This window comes from Homo sapiens, chromosome 9 (genome assembly GCF_000001405.40).
Source record: "Homo sapiens chromosome 9, GRCh38.p14 Primary Assembly".
Taxonomy (NCBI): Eukaryota; Metazoa; Chordata; class Mammalia; order Primates; family Hominidae; genus Homo; species Homo sapiens.
The window spans coordinates 82,881,480-82,896,426 of NC_000009.12; the positions used below are offsets into that span (position 1 = coordinate 82,881,480).

General features: G+C 42.5%; 7 annotated features.

Moving 5' to 3' along the window:
• Positions 443-944: an enhancer, noted in NCBI's record as "H3K27ac hESC enhancer chr9:85496837-85497338 (GRCh37/hg19 assembly coordinates)". NCBI's record gives its function as "activates a minimal SCP1, AML or CMV promoter by ChIP-STARR-seq in naive H9 embryonic stem cells {active_cell/tissue: H9 hESC(naive)}" and the evidence as "EXISTENCE:reporter gene assay evidence [ECO:0000049][PMID:30033119]".
• Positions 945-1,444: an enhancer, noted in NCBI's record as "H3K27ac hESC enhancer chr9:85497339-85497838 (GRCh37/hg19 assembly coordinates)". NCBI's record gives its function as "activates a minimal SCP1, AML or CMV promoter by ChIP-STARR-seq in naive H9 embryonic stem cells {active_cell/tissue: H9 hESC(naive)}" and the evidence as "EXISTENCE:reporter gene assay evidence [ECO:0000049][PMID:30033119]".
• Positions 1,910-2,736: an enhancer, noted in NCBI's record as "OCT4-NANOG-H3K27ac hESC enhancer chr9:85498304-85499130 (GRCh37/hg19 assembly coordinates)". NCBI's record gives its function as "activates a minimal SCP1, AML or CMV promoter by ChIP-STARR-seq in naive and primed H9 embryonic stem cells {active_cell/tissue: H9 hESC(naive and primed)}" and the evidence as "EXISTENCE:reporter gene assay evidence [ECO:0000049][PMID:30033119]".
• Positions 4,388-5,212: an enhancer, noted in NCBI's record as "H3K27ac-H3K4me1 hESC enhancer chr9:85500782-85501606 (GRCh37/hg19 assembly coordinates)". NCBI's record gives its function as "activates a minimal SCP1, AML or CMV promoter by ChIP-STARR-seq in primed H9 embryonic stem cells {active_cell/tissue: H9 hESC(primed)}" and the evidence as "EXISTENCE:reporter gene assay evidence [ECO:0000049][PMID:30033119]".
• Positions 6,865-7,690: an enhancer, noted in NCBI's record as "OCT4-NANOG-H3K27ac hESC enhancer chr9:85503259-85504084 (GRCh37/hg19 assembly coordinates)". NCBI's record gives its function as "activates a minimal SCP1, AML or CMV promoter by ChIP-STARR-seq in naive H9 embryonic stem cells {active_cell/tissue: H9 hESC(naive)}" and the evidence as "EXISTENCE:reporter gene assay evidence [ECO:0000049][PMID:30033119]".
• Positions 7,691-8,515: an enhancer, noted in NCBI's record as "OCT4-NANOG-H3K27ac hESC enhancer chr9:85504085-85504909 (GRCh37/hg19 assembly coordinates)". NCBI's record gives its function as "activates a minimal SCP1, AML or CMV promoter by ChIP-STARR-seq in naive H9 embryonic stem cells {active_cell/tissue: H9 hESC(naive)}" and the evidence as "EXISTENCE:reporter gene assay evidence [ECO:0000049][PMID:30033119]".
• Positions 13,238-14,293: an enhancer, noted in NCBI's record as "VISTA enhancer hs618". NCBI's record gives its function as "enhancer in: neural tube[6/11]" and the evidence as "EXISTENCE:transgenic organism evidence [ECO:0001131][PMID:17130149]".

Sequence of the window (14,947 nt, forward strand, 5' to 3'; positions counted from 1 at the left end):
TTTATGGTCACCCTAGTCAAAGGTATCCTTTTGCTTAAAGCATGGAATTACTATCAAATCGAGACTGGAAGCCTGTAACTAAGAGTGAAGCAAAATCTTTTCTCTACTGTCCAAGGCTCATCTTTTAAGTCCCACTTTACTATCCAAAAAATTTTCAGAAAACAATTCCACTTCGTTTCCGAAATGATTTAAAAATTCATAATAAAGTAGTGTCGAAAGTCAATGGACATGTGCTTTTTCAAAGCTAGGCAAAGCTTGAGTGCCCAAATCCTTGATTTTAATATGAATAAAGTATGTACAATCAATACTATAAATAATAAATTTGGGAAGAAGACTTGATATTGTAAAAGCAAGTTTTCTGACACAAAATGAAATGGAGTTGATAAAATGAAGGAGAAGGGCCGGGGAGATGAAAGCATTGTGGTGTTTTTGAGAAAAGACATCATGTTCCACTTACAAAGTCACAGTCCTGGGTGAAGTTTGTCTAAGGTTAATCTATGTAAACATTACATAGGTTTAGGGAAATACCAGATCAGAAAGTGCCAGTGCCTCATATCTCAGGGGATAGCCACTGGAGAGCTACAGGCCTCAGAGAGAAACTTTGTATATCCACTATTGTAACAGAGCTGTGGAGTATCAAAGGCTAAGTGAGGGTCCAGGTAGGCTGGTGTGGGCAAACTTCAAAGTCTGAGGCAACCCAGGTAAAGTGCATAGAACATCAGCAAACCTCCAGGACCCCACAAGAGAGGCTCACATATGGCTGAGAGATGGCTAGTGAACCAGCAACACCTCATGAGTGACTCAAAGAAGAAACAGATGGTCTGACATGACCAGAGGCCATGGCTATGGAGTCATCATGGTGGATATCAGTCATAGACAGAGGACAATGAGTAAATGACCAGCCAAGATGAGACATTCCTCTGTGGATACCAGCAGGGCACAGAGGACAATCATGAGCCAGGTGCCCTCTTTTCTCAACACTGTGAGGCACTAAAGTCCCAGGAGCTTAGCCGCTATGCTGGGGAATAGGAGTGGGAGTGTAAGAACCCTGATTTTGAGCATCTTTCTCTGAAAAAGTATGCAAAATAAAGTTCACAGTTTGTCTTAAATCAGCAAAACCAAGTTTTCTGCTTTCAGCCAAAAAGGGGTATGAAATAGATGCTAAATTTCATTTTTTTTCACATCTGAGTCTGTGGCCTGTGAAATTTGTACCCACTACATTTTATTTCCCGAGATGTTCTAAAGGCTGTTTGCTGTTGCTTTCTGTCTAATAACATAAAAAGCACAAAGATCTTAAAGAAAAGCAGGTTAGCAACTAGATTTCGCTGAAAAAAAAAGCATTTCAATTCCACAGAACACCTAAAGAAGCCATAAATCTGGGCTATGTGTAGCATTTCAAGTAGCTGACTCATTACCAATAACAATGCTCCCACTACCAGGAAATCGAATTTTTGGCATTTTTTTCTAACTCTGCCCCCACCAAAACTTTAACCTGAACTACCAAGAATAACAAAATTGACAGATTTGTGATTCAATCCTCCATTTCCCTTTCCTGTTTGTTTGATGGATGTGCAGATTAGCAGTGAAATGGCCCAAGACTAGCAAGAAAATAGGGGAAAAAATCTGGTTGTAGTCTCATAACAGAACTTTGACACTATACCTTGCCAGCCTCCTCCATCTTTATCTTTGCTTTAAACACACATTTGCACAGGCACACACACATACACACACACATGCCCACCCTCTATAGAAAGAATCTGTCATGCTATCTAACATTTTTAAAACAATTCCACTTCAAAATAGGAATAAATGATTTGTAGTTTTAATTTTATTTACATCCATCCACTTGTTGTCTTTTTTTTTTTTCATCTCAGGAAGATTCATCTAAAAAAGAATTGTCTTTGGCCTCCAAAACTCTTTTGACCCTGTGTCCACACTGTTCTCTTAAAGGCAACATACAGAATCACTTATGAGCCCTTTACCTTCATGCAACAACTTCGCTAACCCTGTATACATCTTCCACCAAATCAGTCATTTTTTTTCTTTCCAAGCACCCACATCAAGTAATAGCCTCACACCTTTGCCATTGCCCTTTGCATGTCATGGTGGATCCAGGAATGCAAAGGCCTCCCATGGCTCAATTCTAATCCATTTTCACAGATCAGATGCTCACATAACCAGACCTTGGTCACCATACCCCATGGACACTGCTCCCTACAAGGCCTCCACTATTGGACACTCCTTTTCTCTGACTGTCAGGCCTCTGAGCCCAAGCCAAGCCATCGCATCCCCTGTGACTTGCACGTATATGCCCAGATGGCCTGAAGTAACTGAAGAATCACAAAAGAAGTGAATATGCCCTGCCCCGCCTTAACTGGTGATATTCCACCACAAAAGAAGTGTAAATGGCCGGTCCTTGCCTTAAGTGATGACATTACCTTGTGAAAGTCCTTTTCCTGGCTCATCCTGGCTCAAAAAGCTCCCCCACTGAGCACCTTGTGACCCCCACTCCTGCCTGCCAGAGAACAAACCCCCTTTGACTGTAATTTTCCTTTACCTAACCAAATCCTATAAAACGGCCCCACCCCAATTTCCCTTTGCTGACTCTCTTTTCAGACTCAGCCCACCTGCCCCCAGGTGAAATAAACTGCCATGTTGCTCACACAAAGCATGGTTCGTGGTCTCCTCACACAGACGCACATGAAATTTGGTGCCGTGACTCGGATCGGGGGACCTCCCTTGGGAGATCAATCCCCTGTCCTCTTGTTCTTTGCTTCATGAGAAAGATCCACCTACAACCTCAGGTCCTCAGACCGACCAGCCCAAGAAACATCTCACCAATTTCAAATCTGTTAAGTGGCCTCTTTTTACTCTCTTCTCCAGCCTCCCTCACTATCCCTCAATGTCTTTCTCCTTTCAATCTTGGTGCTACACTTCAATCTCTCCCTTCTCTTAATTTCAATTCCTTTCATTTTCTGGTAGAGACAAAAGAGACGCGTTTTATCTGTGGACCCAAAACTCCGGCGCCGGTCACAGACTGGGAAGGCAGCCTTCCCTTCGTGTTTAATCATTGCAGGGAGACCTGTCTGATTATACACCCACGTTTCAAGGGTGTCAGACCACGCAGGGACACCTGCCTTGGTCCTTCACCCTTAGTGGCAAGTCCCGCTTTTCTGGGGAAGGGGCAAGTACCCCAACCCCTTCTGTCCTTGTCTCTACCCCTTCTCTGCTTTTCCGGGGACAGGGCAAGTACCCCAACCCCTTCTCTCCTTGTCTCTACCCCTTCTCTGCTTTTCTGGGAGAGGGGCAAGTACCCCTCAACCCCTTCTCCTTCACCCTTAGCAGCAAGTCCCACTTTTCTACGGGGCAAGAACCCCCAATCCCTTATTTCTGTGTCCCAACCTCTTATCTCTGTGCCCCAATCCCTTATTTCTGTGCCCTGACCTCTTATCTGTGCCCCAACCCCTTTTCCCACTTTTCTGGAAAGTAAGAACCCCCGAACCCCTTCCCTCCGTTTCTCTACTCTCTCTTTTCTCTAGGCTTGCTTCCTTCACTATGGGAACCTTCCACCCTCCATTCCTCCTTCTACTCCCTTGGCCTGTGTTCTCAAAAACTTAAAACCTCTTCAACTCTCACCTGACCTAAAACCTAAGTGCCTTATTTTCTTCTGCAATGCCTCTTGACCCCAATACAAACTCGACAGTAGTTCCAAATAGCCAGAAAATGGCACTTTGAATTTTTCCATCCTGCAAGATCTAAATAATTCTTGCCATAAAATAGGCAAACGGTCTGAGGTGCCTGATGTCCAGGCATTCTTTTACACATCAGTTCCTTTGCCCAGTGCAACTCGTCCCAAATCTTCCTTCTTTCCCTCCCGCCTGTCCCCTCAGTCCCAACCCCAAGCGTCGCTAAGTCTTTCTAATCTTCCTTTTCTACAGACCCATCTGACTTCTCCCCTCCTTGCCAGCCCAAGCTAGGTCCCAATTCTTCCTCAGCCTCCGCTTCTCCACTCTGTAATCTTTTTATCGCCTCCCCTCCTCACACCTGGTCTGGCTTACAGATTCCTTCTGTGACTAGCCCTCCCCAACCTGCCCAGCAATTTACTCTTAAAAAGGTGGCTGGAGCAAAAGGCATAGTCAAGGTTAATGCTCCTTTTTCTTTATCCCAAGTCAGATAGCGTTTAGGCTCTTTTTCATCAAATATAAAAACCCAGCCCAGTTCATGGCTTGTTTGGCAGCAACCCTGAGAGGCTTTACAGCCCTAGACCCTAAAAGGTCAAAAGGCCATCTTATTCTCAATATACATTTTATTACCCAATCTGCTCCCGACATTAAATAAAACTCCAAAAATTAAATTCCGGCCCTCAAACCCCACAACAGGATTTAATTAACCTCGCCTTCAAGGTGTACAATAACAGAAAAAAGTTGCAATTCTTTGCCTCCACTGTGAGACAAACCCCAGCCACATCTCCAGCACACAAGAACTTCCAAACGCCTGAACTGCAGCAGCCAGGCGTTCCTCCAGAACCTCCTCCCCCAGGAGCTTGCTACAAGTGCCAGAAATCTGACCACCAGGCCAAGGAATGCCTGCAGCCCAGGATTCCTCCTAAGCCATGTCCCATCTGTGTGACCCCACTGGAAATTGGACCGTTCAACTCACCTGGCAGCCACTCCCAGAGCCCCTGGAACTCTGGCCCAAGGCTCTCTGACTGACTCCTTCTTGGCTTAGCGGCTGAAGACTGACGCTGCCCAATCGCCTTGGAAGCCCCGTAGACCATCATGGACGCTGAGCTTTGGGTAACTCTCACAGTGGAAGGTAAGTCCGTCCCCTTCTTAATCAATATGGAGGCTACCCACTCCACATTACCTTCTTTTCAAGGGCCTGTTTCCCTTGCCTCCATAACTGTTGTGGGTATTGACAGCCAGGCTTCTAAACCTCTTAAAACTCCCCAACTCTGCTGCCAACTTAGACAATACTCTTTTAAGCATTCCTTTTTAATTATCCCCACCTGCCCAGTTCCCTTATGAGGCTGAGACACTTTAACTAAATTGTCTGCTTCCCTGACTATTCCTGGAGTACAGCTATATCTCATTGCCACCCTTCTTCCCAATCCAAAGCCTCCTTTGCATCCTCCTCTTGTATCCCCCCACCTTAACCCACAAGTATAAGATACCTCTACTCCCTCCTTGGTGACCGATCATGCACCCCTTACCATCTCATTAAAACCTAATCACCCTTACCCCACTCAACGCCAATATCCCATCCCGCAGCACGCTTTAAAAAGATTAAAGCCTGTTATCACTCGCCTGCTACAGCATGGCCTTTTAAAGCCTATAAACTCTCCTTACAGTTCCCCCATTTTACCTGTCCTAAAACCAGACAAGCCTTACAAGTTAGTTCAGGATCTGCGCCTTATCAACCAAATTGTTTTGCCTATCCACCCCGTGGTGCCAAACCCATATACTCTCCTATCCTCAGTACCTGCCTCTACAACCCATTATTCTGTTCTGGATCTCAAACATGCTTTCTTTACTATTCCTTTGCACCTTTAATCCCAGCCTCTCTTCGCTTTCACTTGGACTGACCCTGACACCCATCAAGCTCAGCAAATTACCTAGGCTGTACTGCCGCAAAGCTTCACAGACAGCCCCCATTACTTCAATCAAGCCCAAATTTCTTCCTCATCTGTTACCTATCTCGGCATAATTCTCATAAAAACACACGTGCTCTCCCTGCCAATCGTGTCCGACTGATCTCTCAAACCCCAGCACCTTCTACAAAACAACAACTCCTTTCCTTCCTAGGCATGGTTAGTGTGGTCAGAATTCTTACACAAGAGCCAGGACCATAGCCCGTAGCGTTTCTGTCCAAACAACTTGACCTTACTGTTTTAGCCTAGCCCTCATGTCTGTGTGCAGCGGCTGCCACTGCTTTAATACTTTTAGAGGCCCTCAAAATCACAAACTATGCTCAACTCACTCTCTACAGTTCTCATAACTTCCAAAATCTATTTTCTTCCTCATACCTGACGCATATGCTTTCTGCTTCCCGGCTCCTTCAGCTATACTCACTGTTTGTTGAGTCTCCCACAATTACCGTTGTTCCTGGCCCAGACTTCAATCCGGCCTCCCACATTATTCCTGATACCGCACCTGACCCCCTGACTATATCTCTCTTATCCACCTGACATTCACCCCATTTCCCCAAATTTCCTTCTTTCCTGTTCCTCACCCTGCTCACGCTTGATTTATTGATGGTGGTTCCACCAGGCCTAATCGCCACACACCAGCAAAGGCAGGTTATGCTATAGTACAAGCCACTAGCCCGCCTCTTAGAACCTCTCATTTCCTTTCCATCGTGGAAATCTATCCTCAAGGAAATAACTTCTCTGTGTTCCATTTGCTATTCTACTACTCCTCAGGGATTATTCAGGCCCCCTCCCTTCCCTACACATCAAGCTCGAGGATTTGCCCCACCCAGGAATGGCAAATTAGCTTTACTCAACATGCTCTGAGTCAGATAACTAAAATACCTCTAAGTCTAGATACTTTCACTGGATAGGTAGAGGCCTTTCCTACAGGGTCTGAGAAGGCCACTGCAGTCATTTCTTCCGTTCTGTCAGACATAATTCCTCAGTTTAGCCTTCCCACCTCAATACAGTCTGATAACAGATGAGCCTTTATTAGTCAAATCAGCCAAGCAGTTTTTCAGGCTCTTAGTATTCAGTGAAACCTTTATATCCCTTACGGTCCTCCGCCTTCAAGAAAAGTAGAATGGACTAAAGGTCTTTTAAAAATACACCTCACCAAGCTCAGCCACCAACCTAAAAAGGACTGGACAATACTTTTACCACTTGCCCTTCTCAGAATTCAGGCCTGTCTTCGGAATGCTACAGGGTACAGCCCATTTAAGCTCCTGTATAGACGCTCCTTTTTATTAAGCCCCAGTCTCATTCCAGACACCAGACCAACTTAGACTGTGCCCCAAAAAACTTGTCATCCCTACTACCTTCTGTCTAGTCATACTCCTATTCACCGTTCTCAACTACTCATACATGCCCTGCTCTTGTTTACACTGCCGGTTTACACTGTTTTTCCAAGCTATCACAGCTGATATCTCCAGGTGCTATCCCCAAACTGCCACTCTTAACTCTTGAAGTAAATAAATAATCTTTGTTGGCAGGACTATGCTGAATCTTCTTAGGCACTCTCTAATCAGATATCCTGAGTCGTCCCAATTCTTAGACCTTTTATACCTGTTTTTCTCCTTCTGTTACCATTTAGTTTCTCAATTCATCCAAAACCGTATCCAGGCCATCACCAATCATTCTATACAACAAATGTTTCTTCTAACATCCCCACAATATCACCCCTTACCACAAGACCTCCCTTCAGCTTAATCTCTCCCACTCTAGGTTCCCACGCCGCCCCTAATCCCGCTTGAAGCAGCCCTGAGAAACATCGCTCATTCTCTCTCCATACCACCCCCCAAAAATTTTCGCCACCCCAACACTTCAACACTATTTTGTTTTATTTTTCTTATTAATATAAGAAGTCAGGAATGTCAGGCCTCTGAGCCCAAGCCAAGCCATCGCATCCCCTGTGACTTGCACGTATATGCCCAGATGGCCTGAAGTAACTGAAGAATCACAAAAGAAGTGAATATGCCCTGCCCCGCCTTAACTGGTGATATTCCACCACAAAAGAAGTGTAAATGGCCAGTCCTTGCCTTAAGTGATGACATTACCTTGTGAAAGTCCTTTTCCTGGCTCATCCTGGCTCAAAAAGCTCCCCCACTGAGCACCTTGTGACCCCCACTCCTGCCTGCCAGAGAACAAACCCCCTTTGACTGTAATTTTCCTTTACCTAACCAAATCCTATAAAACGGCCCCACCCCAATTTCCCTTTGCTGACTCTTTTCGGACTCAGCCCGCCTGCACCCAGGTGAAATAAACAGCCATGTTGCTCGCACAAAGCCTGTTTGGTGGTCTCTTCACACGGACGCGCATGAAACTGACCATAGCTCCTTCCCTTCTATTTTGCTAATTCCTGCACTTCCAATAAAGGATGCTGTTTTTTGTGATCATCATGACCTCTAGGTCTTTGAACTCTGCCATCTCTCCTAGGGGCCATCCTCTGGACTCACTTGACTCTCTGATTGACCTCGAACCAAAGGCCAGTCATTTTTCCAATCCAATCATCACTATAATAAAATAATCCCTTCCTCTTCTGATATTCTATTGCCTTACCTTCAAAGACACCCCAATATTTTGCTTCCCCTCAAGATACAGCCTCACTACCTGCTGACAAGCATTTTATGAAATGCACTTCTACAAATGGAACTTGATTAACCTGAAGTGAGTTCTCAAAGCTGCCTGAAGATCCCTTTGTCCACTGTTGGATATTTCACATACTCCTTGGGCAGGGATTTTAAAATTTCTTTATTCTCCTAAACACACACATCCAACCCCATCAGAGACCCCTCAATTTCACCTTACCAAGATTAATTCAATCGAATAGGAGCTTCTTCAACATCCCTTTACTTGGTCTCAAAGTATTTCTCTATTATGCTGCTTAATTCCATCCCCTCCTGTTTTTCTCAAGAACTTTTTTCCCTCTCTGTATCTCATTTTCAACCTCTCTCCCAAAGCTCTTTGACATAGTTTAGTATTATGCTCAATTTTTCCACATCCTAAAACACTTTTCTCCACTCCAGTCAGACTAAGATTATCGTTTCTTGTCTTGATTTTTACTTTCTCTTTAATTTCACCTTCTTTTTTTAACCCTTTCTTCTCTTTCTCTTTACCTTCTCTTTTTAATTATACACAGTGTGAACCCAGAAAATCTGAGACAGGTCTCAATTAATTTAGAAAGTTTATTTTGCCAAGGTTGAGGATGCACCCATAACACAGCCTCAGGAAGTCCTGGCCACATGTGCCCAAGATGGTCGGGGCACAGCTTGGTTTTGCACATTTTAGGGAGACATGAGACATCAATCAATACATGTAAGACATACATTGGTTGGGTCTGGAAAGGCAGGACAACTTGAAGCAAAGGCCGGAAGACTGGAAGCCAGAGGGAGCTTCCAGGTCACACATGGGTGAGACACAAACAGTTGCATTCTTTTGAGTCTCTGATTAGTCTTTCTGAAGGAAGCAATCAGATATGCATCTATCTCAGTGAGCAGAGGCGTGACTTCTGATAGAATGGGAGGCAGGTTTCGCTTTAAGCAGTTTCCAGCTTGAGTTTTCCTTAGTGATTTTGGGGGGCCCAAGATAGTTTCCTTTCACAATAAATTATTGAACAAGTATTTTAGTTGCTGCCCTGCCTTCCCACTCACTCCTGAACTCTTACAATCTGGCATCAGCCTTCTCTTTCAATGAGCTAATCTCACCTCATGCCATCTATCCCTTCTCTGTAGTGTCTGACATTGTTGACCCCAGCCTCATTGAAACCTCTCTTTTCACCACTGAAACTGGCTCTCCTCCTACCTTTCTGCTCAATCTCTGTCCCATTTTTAAGTTTACTTTCTCCTTCTGCACCCTCAAGTGCAGGCAGCTTCATGACTCTGTTCTCACCTCAGGACTTCCCTCTTTACAGCCTTTTCCTGTGTGATTGCATCACTCCTAACAGTCTCAATAACCTCCTAGACATCTTCATTTGAACATTCCATTTACACCTCAAAATCAGTAGTTGCAAAGTTGAACACATTTGCTTTGCTCCATACATCCTCTTTCCCAGATTTTTCCATTTTGTTAATATCTTTACCACCTTCCAAGCTAAGCAAAGATAAACCTCAAAGGAGTTGTCAAGCCATATATCATCCTTTGCTTCCAGGTCCAGGCTTCATCTAACAGCCAGTGTCTTCCAAATTCTATGGCTCTGTCTGAAGTGACACTTGCCATCACTCCTTTCCATTTTAGTTCAAACTTACTCTCTATCTCTTGGAATTGCTATATTGCCCCCCCTCTCATTTCATCCTTCACCAAGTCATCCCAGATACTTTTGTTGGATGACTCATGCTAAAGCATAGTTCTAACAATGCAACTTCTCCTACTCAAAACATTCAGTGGTATCCCAATGTCTACCTCATTACATGCAAACTCTCCCTTCAGCACTCAAGGACTCCTAAAATACGGCCCAGCCTGTTGTCCAGCCATCTGCTCTACTTATCCCCATGCTCTAGTCATCTAAAGAAACTGGAAGGAAAAAAGTGAGATGAGTTAAAACTGAAAAATACCTTTCTCTCTTTCTGTATTCCTCTTTTATAAAGGTTACTTTGCCACTTAAAGTTACCTACATAAAATGTCTATCTACTCTAACAGATTGTTTTATATTTCAATCTCCTCTTCTGTGGGAGGAGGACACATAAACACATTTCTCAAGAAGTCAATACACTCAGTTCCTAAATAGTATTAGAGCAAAATTGTGTTACAAAAAAAACTTAATTGCATTAAAATTAACTGTGTTAAAATTATAAGACAACACCAGCTCTAAATAAATGGTAATTATTATTATGGCTATTATTTAATCTAACCTTTTTGTCCTCAAGGAGTCCCATGCTTTGCCTTTTAGTGGGTTACCATCTTGTTGGGGTTCAAAGACTGGCACATGAATTAATTACAACCAGTTGTATTTTTCTTTTTTTTTTTGTAGACCCTATATATTTTATAACTGAAAGAATTTCCCTCCTTGCTTTGTCTACTAGGAAACGCAGCCAAATTTATGGCTCAACTCAGTAACTGTATAAGACCCCATGTATTATATATTTGTTTTTATCTATATATTTATCACTTTCTTGGCCTTATTTTTTTTACTTGATTCTTTCAATAATTTATTTAATCCTCTTATTTTATAAGTTGCTTCTAATTCTTTGGATGTAAGTATTACTAAATACTAGTAAACCAATCTATGAATAATCAAATTATAGTAGAGAGTTTGGCATTAAAGAACAGTATCAGATAAAACAAATTCAGACTCAGGTAAGTAGAGATTTCATTTAAAAAGACTATTGCAATGGGAAGAGGGAAACTATTATGATGAAGTGGTGGAGGCAATATTACAATAAGGAGAATGCTTCTATAGGAAGATGGGCAAGCAACTCAAAGGTTACAAGGAAAAGCCTTTCCTTATATTGGGAGGAATGAACAGGCTGGAAAGAATCAGGTGTGGGGGACTGAGCTGAGCAGGTGGCATTATCAGCTAGTTGATAAGAGAGTATTTTTTTCCTGAGGACAATAGGAAGTAATAGCTCTGGAGAGCTGTTAAGGAGAGGTGGTTCTGTGTCCCATGCTCAGGAATAAAGCAAAGTTGAGGGTCCCAGGACAAAGAATGGCACCTACTCAAAGTTTGGTCAAGTCATATTAGCATTTTGTCCAGATTGGTCAATGGGGACAAACAGTTCAGCTAATCATTTATGAGACAAAGAACAGGAATTTTAAGAGCCTGTATGGCCTTGTCATGAGTAGACAAGGGGCTCATCTGCAAGTATTATCCAAGTCATATGGGGAAGGGTGGTTCTTTGCAGTAAGTTATTTCCTGGAACACAAAAGATTAGGGAAATCTTTTAACCACTGCTATTTTCCAAGAGCACAGGGCTCAGGTAAAGTTCAGCACTGTCAACAGATTGAAAGTAAAATAGGAATGCAGAAAAAAGGGAGACTGGTGATGGAATCTTGGAAGAAATATTATCAGGGGCTTTTGCTTAAAGGGCTATTATGATTTCAGTGGTTGAAACTATAGCTTAAGAAAACTCAGGCTAGAGGGAGCACAGGCTAAAGCACAGAGAAAATGAACATGTGTGTAGAGAGGTAGGCACTTCAGGACAGAGTGACAAAAGCAGAGGTCTGCTTGAGGAGGACAGGGTAGATTTCACTTAGCAAGTGGATTCAGCATCAGGATTCCTGAGAGCGTACAGTGGTGTAGCTGCATGAGGTGTGTCCCATTATTTCCAAATTTAAGAATCATAACTATATTAATCAAAGCATAACTGGATATCCTTTCAATGGAATGTCAGAATACTCCAGGGATTATCTAAACATACAGGGTAATGTGCCTTTGTTTTTGACTAGGCTCTTCATAGTTCTGTTGAGATTAAGTTTAACTTTTAGAAACTAATAACAATGCAAACAATTCTTATCTATAGACATGCAAATTAATTTAAATCTCCTCACTTCAGTTTTAAATGAATTTGCAAATTCATTTCAATATTCCTGGTCTATAAATGCATCTGTTCTCTGGATTTTCCTTTGAACTAGTCTTAACATCTTATTAGTTCCCTCATTTGATTAATGACTTAAAATCTTTGAGATGTGTTCATCTTTTATAGGAATGCTTTTTCCTCTCTTTTGAAAAGCATTCTTTTGTTAAAAGAATGTAATTTCAATACTCATACCACAACTACCACCAAAGAAAAAAGGTTTCAAATCTGCCTGCCACCAACAGAGAACATTGGCAGTCACTCTGAAATTATAGAGATAAAGCCTACCGTCACTACTTAGCCTTCTGGACCCCATCACGTTTGCAAGTAAAGGAGCTCCTGCACTCCCCTCTTTCCTTGGGAGTTATGGTAGGGTTACATCAAGTTACCCTGGGAGTAAATACAATATTTAGGAGGGACTCTAGCAATACCCAAAGGCTATATCAATGTCCCAGGAATTGGCACACGGTGTTCCTGAAGCCTCCAAAATGTGTGAAAGGAATGACTTATACTCTGGGAAGAATCTGGCTCAATGTAAGGAAAGATTTTACAGATAAGGAGGACTGAATTGCAAAAATAAAAATAGTGATTCTTGCCAACACTAAAAAGCAAGTCAGTGTGAGAAATGAAGTGGTATAGGTTTGTGGCTAGGGAGGCCCAGCAAGAGGTGTGCAGGCCACGTGCTCCACCTGAGCCATCCCATAGTCTTACTGAAGCTAGCAAAGATCAGAAACACTCACATGGGGAATCCACCGGTCTTTCCAAAAACAGAAATCTGTTGGGAAGAGCTTCTGCTGCAGCTGAGCAAAAAAAATAAGAAATACTGTTCCACCAAGCCTGAGCAAAGGCTGATCTAGATGTAAGTGCTTCCCATTCACCAGTCAATCCATTATCACTTCCATCCCTACCCGCAGAAGCTGGGGGACAGGAAGCATGTCTGCATTTGTCCCCTGTATGTCTCCAGCATTTTCTAAACATTTGGCCACAAATAGGATGAAGAGAGTGCTGTGCACTGGCCACTTAAGTGCCTTAATCTTTACCCTATCAGGATGACAGTGCTCTGGGTACAGCTCACACACATGCCCTCTTCTAGACTGGAAAGCTGCTATTAGGATGCTGTCAGCAAGTCCAATATTAGAAGTTACCCCAGAATGATAAAATTCTACTCTTCTTTCATTGCATGTCTCTCAGTCACTTAATTTCCCCCTTTTCCTATTAATTCACATTATAAAAACATTGTTTTAGTTTAGGTGGAATTTTTTTTCTGCTTCATTACACTTGCCTTTTTTTTTTTTCTTGGACTTCCCTCCCTGATATCTGCAATGAGTACACACCACCTCCCTTGCAGCCTCTCTGCTTTTAGCAATAATTTGCACATAATGGAACAGCCAGAGGGGGTTTGATCAATGACCTCTGTCTCAGAGATGCTGTTCCTAGGGAAACACATCTGCCAACATAAAGTATTGGAGCAATCACAGCTCAGTGAACGCTGTAATAAGCAACTGTTACTCTGGTGCCATCAGTCATGTTCAGTTACAGACCTGAAAGGAAATGGCACCTCAGGGAGCAATGTCCTTCCATAAATTTGGGCAACAATGAAGAATGATTTGCAATCAAGTAATAAAAGGCCCAAAAAAGGTCCACCATGCATACTAACATCCAGTACAGCTGACAAAGGAAATAAAAAACCTTGGCATTGTTTGCTCGTTATGTAAACTACACAGCTGTCCAAGCAATTAAGATATGATTTTGGGAATTCTCTCATAAAAATTTGCTAACAGTGCTTCCACTTGTGAAAGTGACATTCTTCTTTATCAGTAAAGTGCATTTCATTAAGGTAATGCAATTTCATCAAGCTTAATAGTAGAAATTGCTTAACCTTATGGCAAGAGTATATAAACAATATAAAATTAATGTCGCTCCTCGTGTGGGAGATAGATTTGCATTAGTGACAGTGCTGATCAAGTAATAAAGAAAGCCTATATAGATTGTTCAGGTCCAGGGGCAAATAGCTGCTCTCCAACTTACATGTTGGGAAGCTGTGCTGGCAATAAAACAGTTAAACATTAACCTCCATGAAAAGCATTGGGCTATAAGGAAAAAGACAGATCTAATTACTGAAGATATGTTAGAAAAGTGCTTGACTTTAGGACAAAACAAGGCACCTCCCTTACTGAGAAGGAGCATGGGCTTGCTTAGCAAGCAAAAGAAAAGGAAAGTTAACTCTTAACCCATGCTCAAAACTGCACTGGCCCAAGACAAGGGGCCCCATTAACTACTCAACACCCCATAACCATTATCTTTTATACCCGAGATCTCTGGAAATAGGGTTGTGCCTGGCAGAAGGAAGTGCTCTCTAAGCAGAATTTCATTTGACCTCTTTTTCTTTCCACCATTTCAAGCCAAGCCAAATTTTTCCTCACTAAAGCAAATGCTATTGTGGAGTTCTCATAGAAGAGTTAGTGTTTGAAAGCCACTGTCAGTGGAAGAAAGAACACTTCAACTTCTATCTCGACTCCAAAAACATCGTTTATCCTTGAAAAGTTTTAGCCTTCTCAATATATGCTTTCATCAGAATTGTTCATGATAAATACAATTGGTCTATTTCAAATGCCCTCCTCTAATCTTGCATCTATAGCAAAGGAGTGGGTCAGGACAGCAAAACCACATAGTTTAGATTATCCCAGATTGAATTATTAACCTCCAAACAATAGCATATTCATCTTGCAAGCAAGCCCATTCATCAGTT